Raw genomic sequence first — 17,004 nt, forward strand, 5'->3', positions numbered from 1 at the left:
AAGGGCCTCATTATGTCCCACTAACAGGTTCCTACAGTTTTTCACAACCTTTTCTGGTACATTTCTTTCCTTTTTTCTTTTTTTTTTTTTTTAAATCTCTTGATCATTATTTTGCTATGAGCCCATTTATTCTGGCGTCTTTTTCCCTTCTCCATTTTTCATTGCCTGCCTATGCCCAAAATGTGACATAATCTAAATTCCTACTAATTTATATCCAAAGCTTGGGTAGAAGTGCTCCAATTTGGGAAACACATCTGACTTTTCAGGTGAGGTATGGTATTAACAACATAATGATCAAGACATCATTCAAAGGCCATAGCTTTCAATGTGTCTGGGACACACGTGGCCTGGTGTACATTGGCATTGATGCTGTGATAAACTGTTTTTAAGTAGTGAACTTTGGGAGGTATTTTGGCAATATTTTATGTTAATTTGTGCATTTTTAACCACTACAAAAATAGTCCTATCTATTTTCCTAAGGAAAACTGGAGTAATAAGAATTTTTGCTTAAAACTCAATATTGCAATGCCTGGCACTATTTCATTATAGCCATGTTGCCATTTCATTATTGCCTTATTATTAAAAAAACATGAATTGAATTTTTTTTTTTTTTTTTTTTGAGATGGAGTTTTGCTCTTTCTCCCAGGCTGGAGTGCAGTGGTGCTATCTCGGCTCACTGCAACCTCCGCCTTCTGTTTTCAAGTGATTCTCCTGCCTCAGCCTCCCGAGTAGCTGGGATTACAGGCGCCTGCCATGGCGCCCGGCTAATTTTTGTGTTTTTCGTAGAGACGGGGTTTCACCATGTTGGCCAGGCTGGTCTCGAACTCCTGACCTCGTGATCCACCGGCCTTGGCCTCCCAAAGTGCTGGGATTACAGGCATGAGTCACCGTGCTCAGCCATGAATTGATTATTTAAAGTATCTACCTGCTGCTTAACATGAGCACTTTTGATGGAATTGACCCACGTATTTGGTTAAATTAAATATGAAAGAACTCGGATTATTTTAACTCAGTGTAGCTGTAATAGCAGTCAACATTTATTGAGCAGTTAACACGTACCAGACACTACATAAAGCACTTTATAATGTTATCTTATTGAATGCTCCTATCCATCTTCTGGAGTAAGCACTATTACTCTCCTGATTTTTCAAGTAAGACATTAGGGAGTTCAGTTATTAGATACTAAGTGGTGGATCTGGAGGTTGAAAGCATGGATTTTTGCAAAAATCACTGCCTGTTGTTTTTGTTTTTTCTTGAAGTGACAGGCTTTATTTATTTTCAAGAAAATTTCTGCCAGATTCTCAAGTCTGAAAAAAACCACAGTTCGTTTGTTAGATGCTCTTTCAGAAAGTAGATACAGTGTTCACTTTTAAAAGCAACTGATTCAGCTACTTAAATAATCACACAAGTGCTTTTCCCAAAACAAAAGCAAAAACCATAGGTGTGCTAAAGGGCCTTATGCGTATTTCCCATTTTGTCACACAAAATATTAAAATGATGTGTGCTTAAGGGTAAAAATTAAATAAAATGTGTCTTTTTTACTGCTTCATCAAGGGCATTCTTATGTAACATTGGCATTTTCTTTCTTTTCTCTGTTTTTTACTGTGAGTACATGGTAATGAAGCACACAACTAGTACAGCAGGACTAATAACACTGCTGCCGTGCACCACAGGTTTACAACCATTGCTTCTGCACCACCTCCGAAATGCTAATAACCTCTTAGTGTTATAATGAATATAGGGGACCTCTAATGTCTGTGGACCACACTTTGAGAACCACCACCATGGGGTTACTTGGGGGTTGGGGTGGGTGTGTTGAGCACATACATAGGACAGAGAGAAACCCCAGATTTAGCACTTAGGGATCTCAAAGGGAAAAAGTTCCTTGTGCCTTTCCAAGCAAATAACCTCAAAAATGTGAGGAAGATGTCAGGGGGAAAATAGCGCATCTGCTGAAAGCCCTGTTTCTCTGGGCTCCTGTAGGCCTGGAAAAAGTTCTGAGTGTTTCTCTGTGCCCAGTAGTGCAAGGGATAACTAAAAGGAAAGTCTGTGCACTTGTCAGAAGAAGACAAAGAGGACTGTAGCAGGAGGTCCCAAAGCAGGGGGCTGGATGGAAGGTGGAGGGGGTACAGCCTAGGGGAGCAACAGCACCAGGAAGAACGAGAACTGAAGGGAGGGCAAAGAAAACCTGCAAGGTGGGAGAATGGCCCTGACATGGAGACTGAACTTTGAACTGGACTATCAAGGTTATCAGAAATCACTGGATTGGACTAAGAAAACCCAGACTGGATTTGATTGTGTTTCCACTCTGAAGTGAAATCGGGCAGCTCATGAGCTAGGGGCAGGTGTGATGGTTAATTTTAGGTGTCAACTTGACTGGGTTAAGGGATACACAGCTAGCTGGTAGAGCATTATTTCTGGCTGTGTCTGTGAAAGTATTTCCAGAAGAGATTGGCATTTGAATCAGTGGACTGAGTAAGGAAGATCCACCCTCACCAGTGTGGGTGGGCACCATCCAATCTGTTCTGGCTCAGCTAGAACAAAAAGGCCGAGGAAAGATGAATTTGCTCTCTCTCTTCTGGAGCTGGGTCATCCATTTTCTCCTGCCCTTGGACACCAGCAGCCCCCCCCAGGTTCTCAGGCCTTTGGACTCAGACTGAACTATACTCCCCCACCTTCCCTGTTCCTCTGCTTATAGAAGGCCTATTATGGAACTCCTTGGCCTCTATAATGGAGTGAACCAATTCTCATAATGAGCCCATATGTATATATGGGCTTATAATGGGAATAATAAGCAACAGGATATATACGTCCAGTCGCTTCTGTTTCTCTGGAGAACCCTGACACATACAGCTGGGATCACCTACAAAATAAGTTGCCATCTGACTCTCCAGCCTTTGGCCTGGCCCAACTGGAGCACTGTTCCAGCTCCAAACACAGACACCAGATCTCCACAGTTCTTTCTCTCCTGAAGGGATGCAGACACAAGGGCCTCTTTCACACTCTTCCAGGCCCGACACCTGTATTTTCAAAGTCCAGGCCATTCAGGATGGTAGAGTAAAGAAAAAGAGACATTGGACTACTTTCCAAGAGACCCTCAAATGCATTTACCAACTAATGAGATATCTTTCTAATGTTGGAGAAATGTGGGCATTTTGTGGTGACAATGAACCTACTTAATGATACAAACCTTTTCACTGCAAAAGGGTTCCAAGTAATGTTGAACTAGAATGCAATGCATTCTTCATTTAATCAAAGCAAATTAATAAGCCTTTATCAAGGGCTTATTATGGTCAAAGAACCGTGAAATTCAAAAAGACATAAAACAGTCCTTGCAACACTGCATGACATGGCAGGAATTTAGGACTCATCTAGAAGGGCAAATTACTGCTAAACAGAAAAGAGCCCAAGTACATGAGGTTACCAGTAAAGGGAATGGAGGCCTCATACTCATTGTGTCCCTACCCATTGGTTGAAATCTTTGGAAGCACTATTAATTCACCAGCTGAGTCACCTGATGAAGTTTTAGGTATTTGGCCTGTTCACTAAAGGCTAAGTGTATTCAAGGAAATGGCCAATGTTCCTTGTCTGTGTTATCCTGGTTATTGATTAGCAATTGAGTTAAGGGACATCTCCAGGCTGACTCACTGAGAGCCTCTTTTGCTTGTTTAGAGAGCCACTCTGAATGATCAGGGGGCAGTAGCAGATGCTGCAGGATCTAGCAGGCCCCAGCACTGGAGAGGAGAGAATACCCAAAGTCTTGTGTTTGTATCCAAGTTCTGTGTACCCTTGGGCCAACCCCTTATCTCCTCTGGATTTCTTTTAAAATAACAAAATCTCTGTCAACTCCAAATTTGAGCGACTAACAAGTTAACACATTGTTAACTGTTCTCTTAATTGGAAACTTGTACAACAGAGACATAGCCCAAGGAAGTGAAGCATGAAGGCAATTAAATAAGTCAAAAACCCCATCCTCTAGCCTAAAATATTCATTTTTATTACCTAATAGCAAGATTAAAACTAACATATACTGGTGACTTACTGTGTTCCAGATACTGTGCTGTCTTCATATGCAGTATCTTTTTTTTTTTTTTGAGACGGAGTCTTGCTCTGTTGCCCAGGCTGGAGTGCAGTGGCTCTATCTGAACTCACTACAAGCTCCGCCTCCCAGGTTCACGCCATTCTCCTGCCTCAGCCTCCCGGGTAGCTGGGACTACAGGTGCCCGTCACCACGCTCGGCTAATTTTTTTGTATTTTTAATAGAGACGGGGTTTCACCATGTTAGCCAGGATGGTCTCAATATCCTGACCTCGTGATCTGCCTGCCTCGGCCTCCTGAAATGCTGGGATTACAGGTGTGAGCCACCGCACCCGGCCCCCATATGCAGTATCTTATTTAATCCTCACACCAGTCATCAGCACTCATATTCTTCCCCATTTTACAGGGAAGAAATGGAAGAAATCAAGGCTCAAAAAGGTTAAATAACTTTCCCAAGGTTACACAGTTAATAAGTGACAGAATTGAGACTCAGACCCAAGTTTCTCAGACATCAAAGCCCATGCTCTAGAAGTTTCTGTAAAAGCAAGGAAACCAAAATGTAGGTGAAGTTGTGGGAATATAGTGGGTGAGAGACGTTTGCCATAATTATTTGAATAAGTACTGCAATTTTCTGTTTTACTTTGCGCCTATGTATCTAGCCATTGGTGTCTGAAAACAAAGGTCAAATACGATAGCAAGTGAATATTAATGACAAAGACCTCTGTCTACCCCAGCCATGTTTCTCTCAAGTATGTAAAATTCCATTTTAACTTCAAAACAGGAAACAATTTGAACCCATAAAAGTACCCTAAACCATCACTGAAAGTACAGTGATTTTAGAATTTATGCTATGTCTTTTACCGTAAAGAAATAGCATAGGCACTTGTTTTGTGAGCACTGCCAAAACTACTTCTGAGGGCCATTGGCAGCAATCAGCAAGTGTTTGAGCGTGTGATGCTGAGTGGGTCTGAGGGAACCTGGTCATGCTGAGATTTTCTCTGTGGGTGGGATGGAGAAGCTCCCCTGTATACTGATCTCAAACAGTGGCCTAGTATGGAGGTGGAGGGGGAAAATCCTACACAAGCAGATATATAGACTTAAAGGGGGGTGCTTAAACTCCCCACATGATAAAGATATTCTCTCTCTGCTATAGTACATTCATCTGTTAGGTATATATGGCTTTGGGTGAATTTTGTTAGTTCATTTGACACATTTATTGAGTTTCTACTATATATCAGCAAAATGGCAGCCTAAGGATACAAAGATGAAAGGCAAGTCTTCCCAGTCTAAAGGAGCTCATGTTGTAGGGAGGAAGCCAACAAATAGCACAGCTTGGCACACGCAATGGCAGAGGCACAGGCAATGGGGAGCAAGACTGAAGTAGGGATCAGAGTTGAGAGAGGAAGTCAGAGCTGAGTCCAAAAGAAGAAAAGGAATTGGCCAAGTGCTAACTGGGAAGAAAGTGGGGGTGAGCCTAAGGCAAGGACTGAGGGAATGGTGTGTGCAGGAGGCAGCCTCAGAGATGAGATGGATGGGAAGTGGTAAGAGCAGAGCTGAAGACAAGGCAAAATCTGGGTCATGAGAGACTGTGATCCCAGGAGAGATAGTATGAACTTCATCCTGTGGCAGTGAGGTGCCATGAAGGCTTTTACTCAGTGACACATCATCAGCTTCCAACTTCAGATGGAGCACTCTGCCAACCAGGACAGGAAGCCTAGGCTTCAGCAGGAGGTCAGCCAAGGTCATCAGAATGGTCATTCAGGTAAGGAAAAAGGAGACAGTTGAGGTGAAAAAAGAAAAGCAGATCCAAGAGATTTAGGAGGCAGAATCAATGGACCATAAAGATCCATTATGGGAACAGGTGAATGAAAGGACCTGAGCATGTCTCAGAAGCAGCTGGTTTAGACAGCCACATGGATGGAAGTGAGAGGTGAAGCCAGCTGGGCTTCTGGGTTGGGTGGGGACTTGGAGAACTTTTGTGTCTAGCTAAAGGATTGTAAATGCACCAATCAGCACTCTGTGTCTAGCTAAAGGATTGTAAACGCACCAATCAGCACTCTGTAAAAATGCACCAATCGGCATTCTGTAAAATGGACCAATCAGCACTCTGTAAAATGGACCAATCAGCACTCTGTAAAATGGACTAATTGGCACGCTGTAAAATGGACCAATCGGCACTCTGTAAAATGGACCAATCAGCAGGATGTGGGCAGGGACAAATAAGGGAATAAAAGCTGGCCACCCCAGCCAGCAGCAGCAACCCACTGGGGTCCCCTTCCATGCTGTGGAAGCTTTGTTCTTTCGCTTTTCACAATAAATCTTGCTGCTGCTGATCACTTTTTGGGTCTGCACTGCCTTTATGAGCTGTAACACTCACTGGTGGCTTCACTCCTGAAGGCAGCAAGACCACGAACCCACTGGGAGGAACAAACAACTCCGGACGTGCCACCCTTAAGAGCTGTAACGCTCACTGCGAAGGTCTGCGGCTTCACTCCTGAAGTCCCCGAGACCATGAACCCACCGGGAGGAACAAACAACTCTGGATGTGCCACCTTTAAGAGCTGTAACACTCACTGCAAAGGTCTGCGTCTTCACTCCTGAAGTCAAGCAAGACCACAAACCCACCGGAAGGAAGAAACTCCGGACACATCCGAACATGTGAAGGAACAAACTCCGGACACACCATCTTCATGAACTGTAACAGTCACCACGAGGGTCCGTGGCTTCATTCTTGAAGTCAGTGAGACCAAGAACCCACTGGAAGGAACCAATTCCAGAGACAGAAGTGCCATGCAAAGAGAAGGAATTTGCAGAAGAAATAGAGTTTGAGAGACAGATGAGTTTAGTTTTAAACTTTTTTGTTTGTTGTTGTCAGCCTTTCTCACCCAGGCTGAAGTGCAGTGGTGCAATCATGGCTCACTGCAACCCCGACTTCCCAAGTTCAGGTGATCCTCCCACCTCGGCCCCCGGAGTAGCTGAGACTACAGGCACGCACCACCACGCCCGGCTTATTTGGTAGAGTATTTTGTATTTTCACCATGTTGCCCAGGCTGGTTTTGAACTCTTGGGCTCAAGCCATCCACCTGCCTTGGCCTCCCAAAGCACTGGGATTACAGGCATGAGCCACTGCACCTGGCCAGTTTTAAACATCTTAAGATTGAGATGCTTATGAGATATCCAAGCAGTGATGTACATTAAACAAGAGATTTTTCACAGCTGACACCAAAAATACAAGTTCTGGCTATAGACACAGATGTGAAGCCATGTGTGTGCAAGAAGTCACCCAGTGAACTTAGGGAGGGTGAGGCTGGAAGAGAGCTAAGACCTGAAACCTTCCCAAGAGCCCTGCCAGAGCCAGAGGAGAAGAGCACAGGGAGGAAAGGGGGATATCTAGAGCAAATGGCATCACAGCAGGCAAGGGAGGAAAATTTTCTTCTGGGAAAGGTTCACTAAAGTATAATGAAAATTGTCTGTGGGGTTTGGCAACAGGTGAGTTATTGGTGACTGGTGACAGCAGTTCCAGAGGAATGGGAAGGGGTAAAGCCAGACGGTTACGGGTGACTAGGAAGTAAGTAAATGGGGATCTGTACAGACAACACTTTCAAGAAAGTTGACTCTGAAAGAGTCTGAAAGAGACTGTTTAAAGCAAAGTGAATATTCAGGGTGGAATATTTTTAAAACGAGAGACTCAAGGTCATTTTTATAAAGAGGGAGGCATTACAGGCTCTAGTCAAAAGCAACACTACATGAGTTCGAATGTCGGCTCCTACATGTACAGCTGTGTGACCTTGGGCATCATCCTTCCACTCACTGTTCCTCAGTTTCTTCACCTGTCATGTGGAAGTATTGATTGTGTCTAGGTCATGGGGTTGATGGGAGAGTGAAATGAGTTAGCACATGCAGCAGGGCTCCTAGTGAATACAAACATTACCTGTCACTGTAGGTACTCTATGCAGAGTGAAGGGAGACATCCAATGAGAGGGAGAGAGTCTTGAGAAAAGGAGGATGAGGATGGGTTCAGAAGTGAATTGGAACAAGGAAAGGAACAAGATGAGGAAACCATAACAGAAGTTTAGAGGTTAAATTCCTGTTTGTTTCCTCAATGTTTCTTCCTCAACATTTCTTGTTAAAATTAAACACTCCCTAAGGGACTGAGCTGTTAAGTGGTGTTTCACCTACAACCAGCTGTAGTTGGCTGAGATCAATCAGTTGAAATGAGAATGTGTCTCTGAAGCCCTGGGCTTAAACTTGCCTATATGCTGCCATTTCCTCTAGCTGACACATTCTTGCAGTTGTCAACAACCCAGCCCTGTAGGAGACCATTTTACCATAGGAGATCATTTTTTGCCTTGAAGAATGAAGCAGAGTAACAAGCCAGTGATTAAGGAGTCAGTGACTATTTTGGCCCTCCAAATGTAACACTCACAAAGTATTTCCTTTCCAACTTGCTCCAGGCTCCTCTGAACCAGGAGTCTGAGTGTTTTCTTAGCTGCAAATGAAAACATATTTAAACCAACCTTCAGGTGGTTAAGGCAAAAAAGGACTCTTTCCTCTTGTAACAGAGTGTAGCTGTTTTGCTTTACTGTGACATGTTACTGCGACTCAGGTGATATTTTTTCTCATATTTGTCTGGGGCACTGACTCTGAAGATGTTCCTCCTGGTTCTGCCAGGCTGCAGGGAATCCCTTCAACTAGGAAGTGGATCACGCGTTACTGCCACGCATCCACCCATCACCACCGGCCCAGCGACCTTGGTGTAAAGTGCATTGAACCTATTTGGGCCAGTTGCGTATGACCCTGTTTGGACTATTGTAGTCAATGCAGGGAAAGCTGGTGGGGAAGAGCCACAAGCAGAACACCCTGGTTTTTTTGGAAGTCCTCAGCATGGTCTGGGTGGAGCTGTTGAGGCAAGCACTGAGACTGCCTCTCATTCCAACATCTGCTGTTGAGAAAGGAAGAGAATGTTCAGCAGTGAGAAACCTGGCCGAGGCCAGCCATCAGACTCCTAGAGAGACCCCTTGGGAACCTCTTCAGAGGACGATTTGCTAGAAGGCCAGTGATAGCCAGTTGATTGGAAGGTGACCTTTACTAAATCTCCTAGATGACAGAGACCATGCCCTTTTTCCATTTTTTTTTTTTTTTTTTTTTTTTTTTTTTTGGTTTGCTTCTGCAGCACCTATCAGGATGCCTGGCATTTAGTAGGCATTCAGTATATGTCTTTAGAATGAATGAATGGAAAATGATGAAAGCTCAGATTAAGTTACTTCCCCCCAAGTTCCTCAAACTCAGGTGTGACTAATACAGACCCATTATCAGAAGCAAATGTACTAATCTGTCTTCCAGTAATAACCATCTCAGAGCCATAATGATAAGAGCAGAGGCTTGAGGTAAAACAATGAGGCATGGCTATTTTTAAGAACTAACCATAACTAAGAAACTCTTCCTCTGGTCCTGAAGGATCAATGCGGAGTCTTTATAAAGTCTTTATGGCCCCTTCCCACAAAATAAATAAAACCAAAAAAAGAGATACAGCTTTTGGTAAATTTGGCTTAGTAAAGTAGCACACGGTTTCCGTATTAGACTCAGGTTTTAGTCCACCATTAGGTAGCTGGCACCATGAGGAAGCAAAGTCAAAATACAAAACAGATAACAGTTATATTGATGATACAGGTCCCAAATGTCACCATCCTTCAAAGAATGGAGTGTGTACTGGAGTTGATGTGTTGATAAAGTGTCCATTAAAGACAAAAGAAGGCAAGGCACGGTGGCTCACTCCTGTAATCCCAGCACTTTAGGAGGCCGAGGCAGGCAGATCACCTGAGGTCAGGAGTTCGAGATCAGCCTGAGTGAGCAACATGGTGAAACCCCGTCTCTACTAAAAATATTAAAAAATTAGCCAGGTGTGGTGGGTGCCTATAATCCCAGCTACTCGGGAGGCTGAGGCAGGAGAAACTCTTGAACCTAGGAGGCAGAGGTTGCAGTGAGCCGAGATTGCACCACTGCACTCCAGCCTGGGCAACAGAGCGAGACTCCATCTCACAAACAACAACAACAGCAACAAAAAAACAAGCAAAGGCTGAATTATCCATCGTTGTGATAAGTACAGTGAAGTTCGTTTTTTGTTTTGTTTTGTTTTTTTTTATGTTCCTACCCATCCCAGAACCTATAATCTGTTCAGTGAAGCCAGAATTCATGCTTATGAAAACTTCAGAGCCCATACAGCGCAGTGTAGAATTAACTGAAAAAGAACCATTCGGTGAAGGTTACCAGGGGTAAGAGGACAAAGAAACCACAATGGTTGGAGTCTCTTCCTAGAAAAGCTGAGAATCGAGGGGAGTCTCAAAGAATGGATGGGATTCCCTAAGTTTGAGAGAGGGCTGAGGAGAGAGGGATTGCAAGCAGGGAGATTCCAAGTTAGGAGCAAATCACAGCAGTAGGGCTATGCCCCTCGTAGCCCAGGAACGGGAAGGAGATGGGCCAAACCTTGAAAGGCCTAGATGCATGAATGTGATGTTGACTGAAGACCAGTCCAGAGCTGGTGAGCAGGGCAGGCAAGGAAACACCAGGAGGACAACTGCCCTCCACGAATTCTCCCATATACAGTCATGCATCACTTAACAACAGGGGTGCATTCTGAGGAATGCCTCATCAGGCAATTTCCTTGTTATGAGAGCATCCTAGTGTGTACTCACACAAACCTAGACAGTGTAGCCTACTATGCGCCTAGGCTACATGGTATAGCCTATTGCTCCCAGGCTGCAAACCCATACAGCATGTTACCATAACAAATAGTATAAATACATAATAACACCACGGTAAGTATTTGTGTATTTCAGCATAGAAAAGACACAGTAAAAATACAGTGTATTATAATATCATGGGACCATCCTTTATGCAGTTCATCATTGAGCGAAATGTTGTTATGCAGCCCTTCTCCTTTTACTTTTTTCTTTTAATACTGTCCATGAATGTAAGGGTGGAAGGATGCAAATATAGAAAAAGGTTTACATTTAAAGTAGGGCTCAGGTCAAACAAAATTAGAGCCCTTGTCTTCTAGTCTTCTCCAAAGAAGAAAGAATCCTGAACTAAAATATCAGCCCCAGCACTGCACAACATCACTAGATAGTGTAAAATCAGAGACTGTGCCTATTTCACTCACTCCTGTTTGGCAGGAGGAGCACAGAGCTCAAAGAGAGGTTAGTCTAGCTTAATTCCCTAATCAAGTCAAGAAGTGAGTCTTGAACATCACTGACAGATAACTATCTAGTCTTGACTTCAGTATTTTGAGTGTCAGGATATTCACTATCCTATTAATAATAGATGACTAATAACAATTGCCCCACTTGGAACTTTGAATCAGTTAGGATTTTGTTTGGCTGAAAGTTTTTAAAAAAATAACTGAAGTTAAACAAGGTAGAAATTTATTTTATGTAAATTTTAGGTACAAGCAGTCATAGCAGTGGTATGACATGCTATGGCCTCAGAGACTCAGGTTCCCTATATTTTTCTGCTCCTTTGAGTGGCTTCTCCAGAGTTATCTCATGTCCCAAATGGTTGCTGAAGCTCCAGCCCTTATGTCCTAAGCCCATTAAAAAGGAAAGAGGAAATGGGGCAGAAGAACTTGCTTCTTCCCTTTAAGGACCTGCCTGGAAGTTGCATTCACCAGTTCCACTAACATCTCATTGGTCAGGAGGACACTTTCACCTGCAAGGGAGGCTAATAAATGTAGTCCGTATTTCAGAGAGCCTTGTGCCCACAATAAAAATCATGAGGTTTAATTTTTTACAAAGAAGGAGAAAGTAGATAACATGTTTCTATGACAGAGTCTAATGTAGGCCTCCTCCTGGAAAATCCAGGAAAAGTGGATTTGGCTTTTAAAAAAAAAGTTTTGATTTTTAATCTTCCCTGGTAGGACCATGCTCACCAAAACAATAGGAAGAAGATGCTCATCTGTGGAGTGGCTGTTACCAACTATGTCCATGGCAGCAGCAGAGTTTAGCTGCACCTCCCAGAGGCCTACAGTTTACTCTCAAAGTGAGAACATAGCAAGTAGGCAGAAGCTGCACCCCTGCTTTTGAAGTCCTTCTTTTGGAGCTGCCCAACAATCCCTCTTGGACTACTCACCAAAGCCCCAGGAATGCCACCCCCTCTCACACCCTGCTGTGGTATAGGTGAACTCAGGTGGCACTGTCCTAGCCTTGAGCCCTAGTAGAAGACGCTGGCTGCATCCACTTGGTCTCCCCAGCAGAGGAGATGGTGTGTTTCTATTGGGCATCTGTTGTCCATAGGAAAGTCTTCCTAAGACTGCGTCAAAACCTGCTCTGTCAGAAATTCCAATATTTAGGCATTTCTGTCTGGTGTCCTAGGCTCTATATCTAGTACATAATTAAAATCACCTATCAGGTTTTTCACCAAAGATAAAAATTGCTGAGAGTTAACATTGTAACATGTAATTAAGACTACTAAAAACCATCAGTTTCACATGCCAGGCCTGTGAGGAAGTGAAATGTGCTTTTAGTAAAAGATTATAAGAAGATACGGGAATGTACATTTTTGCCTAGTTTAGAGGGCTAAAGGATTGTTTTAAATTAGATATGATAAACCTAAATGTTTGAGCAAGTTTTGGAAGGTTTGTGAAAAATTAATTGTAAAAGAGATTCTGTGTATGAACATATTGGCTAAATTTAAAGGGGTATTATTCAGTTTTTTCCATGCTTTTGGAATAAAGCACAACATGGTTTTCTTAGAGCATGGATCTGCTCTTTAACAAGAATTTGTAAAGGGTTATAAAAGGTTTATGAGAAGCTCACCTTATGGTTAAACTGATTAAGACTGGATAGATTTGTCTATAAGGTTTTATTAAAAATTGGGGTGGAGGCCGGGCACAGTGGCTCAAACCTATAATCCCAGCACTTTGGGAGGCCGAGGCAGACGGATCACCTGAGGTCAGGAGTTCGAGACCAGCCTAGCCAACATGGTGAAACCCTGTCTCTACTAAATATACCAAAAAAATGAGCCAGGTGTGGTGGCGGGCGCCTGCAATCCCAGCTACTCAGAAGGCTGAGGCAGGAGAATTGCTTGAACCCAGGAGGTGGAGGTTGCAGTGAGCCGAGATTGTGCCACTGTACTCCAGCCTGGGTGACAAGAGACTGTCTCAAAAAAAAAAGAAAAAAAAATGGGGTTGAAAAAAATTTTTCACTGTTTAGTCTAGTCCTGCCATACAGAGAAAATTAGCTTTCTCTCCACCCTGCCGATTCAAATATTTGAAGACATATACACTTTTCTTGTGATTTATGTCTTCATCCAATTAAAAACATGCAGCTTTTTCTGTTGTAAATTGCAGGTTCCTCAAGAGCAGAGTGCTATCTTCTTGTCTCTGTGTCCCCAGTCCTTACACTGCCTAGCGCATGTGGATTCCTCACATTTTCTTGTGGAATGAATGAATAAATTCTACTTTTATTATTTCCCCCTAAGTCATGTCTCTTTAGACACATGCAGCCCAAATCTCTCCTAAAACAGATTGGCGAGAACATTTTTAAATTTAAGGATTTCTTTTCTTTTTACAAAAAATAATACATCTTCATTCTAGAAAACGTGTATCAACAATAACAAAATCACAAACAGCCCAATACCTGGGAATGAATACTATTAGTATTTTGATTTATATTCCTCTTAGTTTTTTTCTGTGTATATATATATTTTTTTTAATATACATTTTTCATCAGAATGAGATCATATAATTTAAAAACCTACTTTTTATACTTAACAAAACCTCATGGGCATCTTTCCAAGATAGTATTCCTGAATATGCCATGTCATTTTTTAAAGTTCTTTTGTAATTCAACCGAAATACAAAAACAGAAAAGTGCACAAGTCTTAAGTATTCTGTTTGATGAAATTTCACTAATTGGACGCATGTGTCTTACCAAGATGAAGATCAGAAAATTGAACGTGACCAGAACCTCAGAAATCTCCCTTGTGTCTCCTCCTCATCACTACTCCCTGCAAGGACTACCATAGGCATTTTTTAACTTCCATAGATGGAATCACACTATATAACTGTATATATTATTTTCTAGCTGTCTTCTTTCAGCACATCATTTTAATGACTGCATCCTATTCCTTTATTTTGCTGTAATAGAATTTATTCAGTTTATACCTATGATTGTGTTGTCATAATACATTATTTTTTCAACTTTTGCTTTTATTAAAAATTCTGTAATGAATATCTGTGTCCTAAAACAGTGATTTTTTTCTCTTACGGTAAAATTCACAGATATGAATTAAACTTTTAAGATTTGTTTACTTATATTGCCAAATTGCCCTTCAAAACAGTTGTGCCCGTTTTATGTTCCCATCACAATGTGTAAGACTTCCAGTTTCCGTGATGTGGTCTAGAATTGAACATAAAACCTCAGATGTAATCCAGCTAACATTTGCCCTGAATGTCTCACTTCCCTTTACTGTGCACAAATAGACTGCAAGCACAGATAATCTCGAAGTTCTCTGACAAAGACAAAAGTTAGGGTGATAGTGCTGGAAATGACCTTGGAACAGTAAGATACTTATTTTCCATCAACAAGCTTATTTTCAGATGAGAATCCAGAAGCCCAAAGAGGTGAGATATCAGAGCAGACAGATTCCCAAAGAAAACCAAACTAGAAAACCACATGTAGGAAAAAAGCAGCAGAGAAACAAAACAAAATGTGTCTTTAGCAGTTACCTATGGGGAGCGAAACTATTTTTCTTCTTCTTTTTACTTTTCTGAATTATCTAAATCTTCAGTAAGGAGCATATATTTCTTTCCCAGTGGAGAAAAAAAGTATTTCTTTAAAACAAGAGGGCCGACATGGTGGTGCACACCTGTAATCCCGGCACTTTGAGAGACCGAGGCAAGTGGATAACTTGAGGCCAGGAGTTCAAGACTAGCCTGGCCAACATGGTGAAACCCTGTCTCTACTAAAAATAAAATAAAGTAAAAAAAAAAAAACAAAAATTAGCTGAGCATGGTCTTGCATGCTGCATACCTGTAATCTCAGCTACTCAGGAGGCTGAGGCACAAGAATCACTTGAACCTGGGAGGTGGAGGTGGAGATGGCAGTGAGCCAAGATCGGCAGCCTGGGCAACAGAGCAAGACTCCATCTCAAAAAATAAAATAAATAAATAGAAGGAAAAATAGAAAGGAGGAGGTAAATTTGTAATTTCCTATTCTATACACTTAATATATGCCTAAGACCTAGTACAAAGTAGGCTACAAAGTAGGAAAAATGGTGTGTTTAAAAATCTGGAAGAGGCAGGGCACTCTAGAACAATGAATTCCAAGAATTCAGAAACCCAGGCAAGCAGAACCTGAGTGAAGTGACTTTTGAAAAGCAGCTCTGGTCTGTCAATTTGGAAAAATAAATGTGCTTGATGAGCTGGGTCTGGAACAGGCGCTGGAGACCTCTGGGTGAAGAAACAAAGGATCGGTGTTTGGTTGGTTGGTTGGTTGGTTGGTTGGTTGGTTGGTTGTTTTTTTTCATTTTTTGGGGTTTTTTTAATTTTTTAATTTTTCTGTAGATTCATATTCAGCTGAAAGGACAAGTGATTTAATGGTGTTTTCTTATGAGCAGTTTGGAAATCTTGTCTGTGTCTCTGTTCAGAGATGGGGGTAGGGTGAAGATGGGGTTAGGGTGCTGTGAGCTGTAGGAGGTCACCAGCTTCATGGGGTAAAAACATTTCAGAACCACCACCAACAGGCACCAGGAAAGGTATCTGCCCTTTCCTGTCACCTGAGACCTGAACCTTCCTCATTTTCTGTCCATGTAAGAGCTGGAGTCATGGCATTTGGTTTCAGAGTCTTGATTAATGAGGGATTTCACATCTCGCTGTGGCTATGGTGGGTGTTGGCTGAATGAATTGTAAAATCATAGAGTGTTAGTTAGAACATAGATGAAATCACATCCCTAAAGTCTACTATTCATTGTTAATGGGGCCGGGCACGGTGGCTCACACCTGTAATCCTAGCATTCTGGGAGGCTGAAGCGGGCAGATCACTTGAGGCCAGGAGTTCGAAACCAGCCTGGCCAAGATGGCGAAACCCCATCCCTACTAAAAATACAAAAATTAGTTGGGCGTGGTGGCACAAGCCTGTAATCCCAGCTATTCTGGATGCTGAGTCAGGAGAATCGCTTGAAGCCAGAAGGCAGAGGCTGCAGTGAGCCAAGATCACACCACTGCACTCCAGCCTGGGTAAGAGGTTGAGACTCAGTCTCAAAAAAAAAAACCACATAGTTAATAAATAATGGGGCCTGATAAGGTTGCCAGATTTAACAAATGAAAATACAAGAGCCATAGTTAGATTTGAATTTTAGATAAACAGTGACATGGCCTTTAGTCTAAGTCTCATGCAGGATTTGACTGGGTGTCCTGTATTTTATCTGGCCACCTGACGGGGCCATGATGAAAGCCCAGCTCCCAGTGACCATTCCAGTCAACTGCAGGCTGTGCAGTGCATTTCCCAAAGGAGGTCTGTCTGATTTCCAGAAAGACAGGCCAGAAGTGCCCCACATATGAGAGGCTGTAGAGTTTAATGGTACCAGGACACAGTTGGCCCTTGGCATGGTTTCTTCATCTTGTTATAGGATTACAAACAGCACCTGTTTCAAATAGCTGTTGTAAGAATTAAATAATTACAAGTAGAACACATAAAACAGATATTTATTAGATAAAATATCAAGCCAAAAGTATTGTGACTTTTATCTGAGTAGTCTGCAATGACTTCTCAAACATATTTGGTCTCTCAACTATACCACTGGTGTGAAATAGGCCACAGTTCCCCTACTATTCTCTCCAGCTTTATGCTGAGAAAACCAAAAATTCCTCTCATCTGCAAGAGAGAGGTATGGCCCTGATTTTGATAAGGCAATAAGGATTTTTATTAACCATCATAATAATTATTCATTCATGATAGAACCATTATCTTA

At 42.3% G+C, this 17,004-nt stretch overlaps 1 protein-coding gene across 8 annotated transcripts in view, besides 1 other annotated feature; it reads left to right on the plus strand.

Annotated features, from left to right (window-relative positions):
- AK5 (adenylate kinase 5) overlaps positions 1-17,004 on the plus strand; it is a 277,948-nt gene that overhangs the window by 208,687 nt on the left and 52,257 nt on the right. For 2 of the 8 annotated variants that reach the window (XM_017001012.2, XM_047417740.1), the window contains exon 11: positions 11,951-14,264. The exons of the other annotated variants lie outside the window; for them this stretch is intronic. In XM_017001012.2, coding sequence (XP_016856501.1) covers positions 11,951-11,973 — 23 coding nt within the window. In that variant the 3' untranslated portion in view covers positions 11,974-14,264. Of the gene's footprint in view, positions 1-11,950; positions 14,265-17,004 lie in introns of those variants that run through there. 8 annotated transcript variants of the gene reach the window in all.
- Positions 5,780-6,979: an enhancer, noted in NCBI's record as "BRD4-independent group 4 enhancer chr1:77962170-77963369 (GRCh37/hg19 assembly coordinates)". NCBI's record gives its function as "activates an origin of replication core promoter dependent on BRD2, P300/CBP, MED14 and CDK7 cofactors, and independent of BRD4, by STARR-seq in HCT116 cells {active_cell/tissue: HCT116}" and the evidence as "EXISTENCE:reporter gene assay evidence [ECO:0000049][PMID:35650434]".

Source organism: Homo sapiens, chromosome 1, assembly GCF_000001405.40.
Source record: "Homo sapiens chromosome 1, GRCh38.p14 Primary Assembly".
Taxonomy (NCBI): Eukaryota; Metazoa; Chordata; class Mammalia; order Primates; family Hominidae; genus Homo; species Homo sapiens.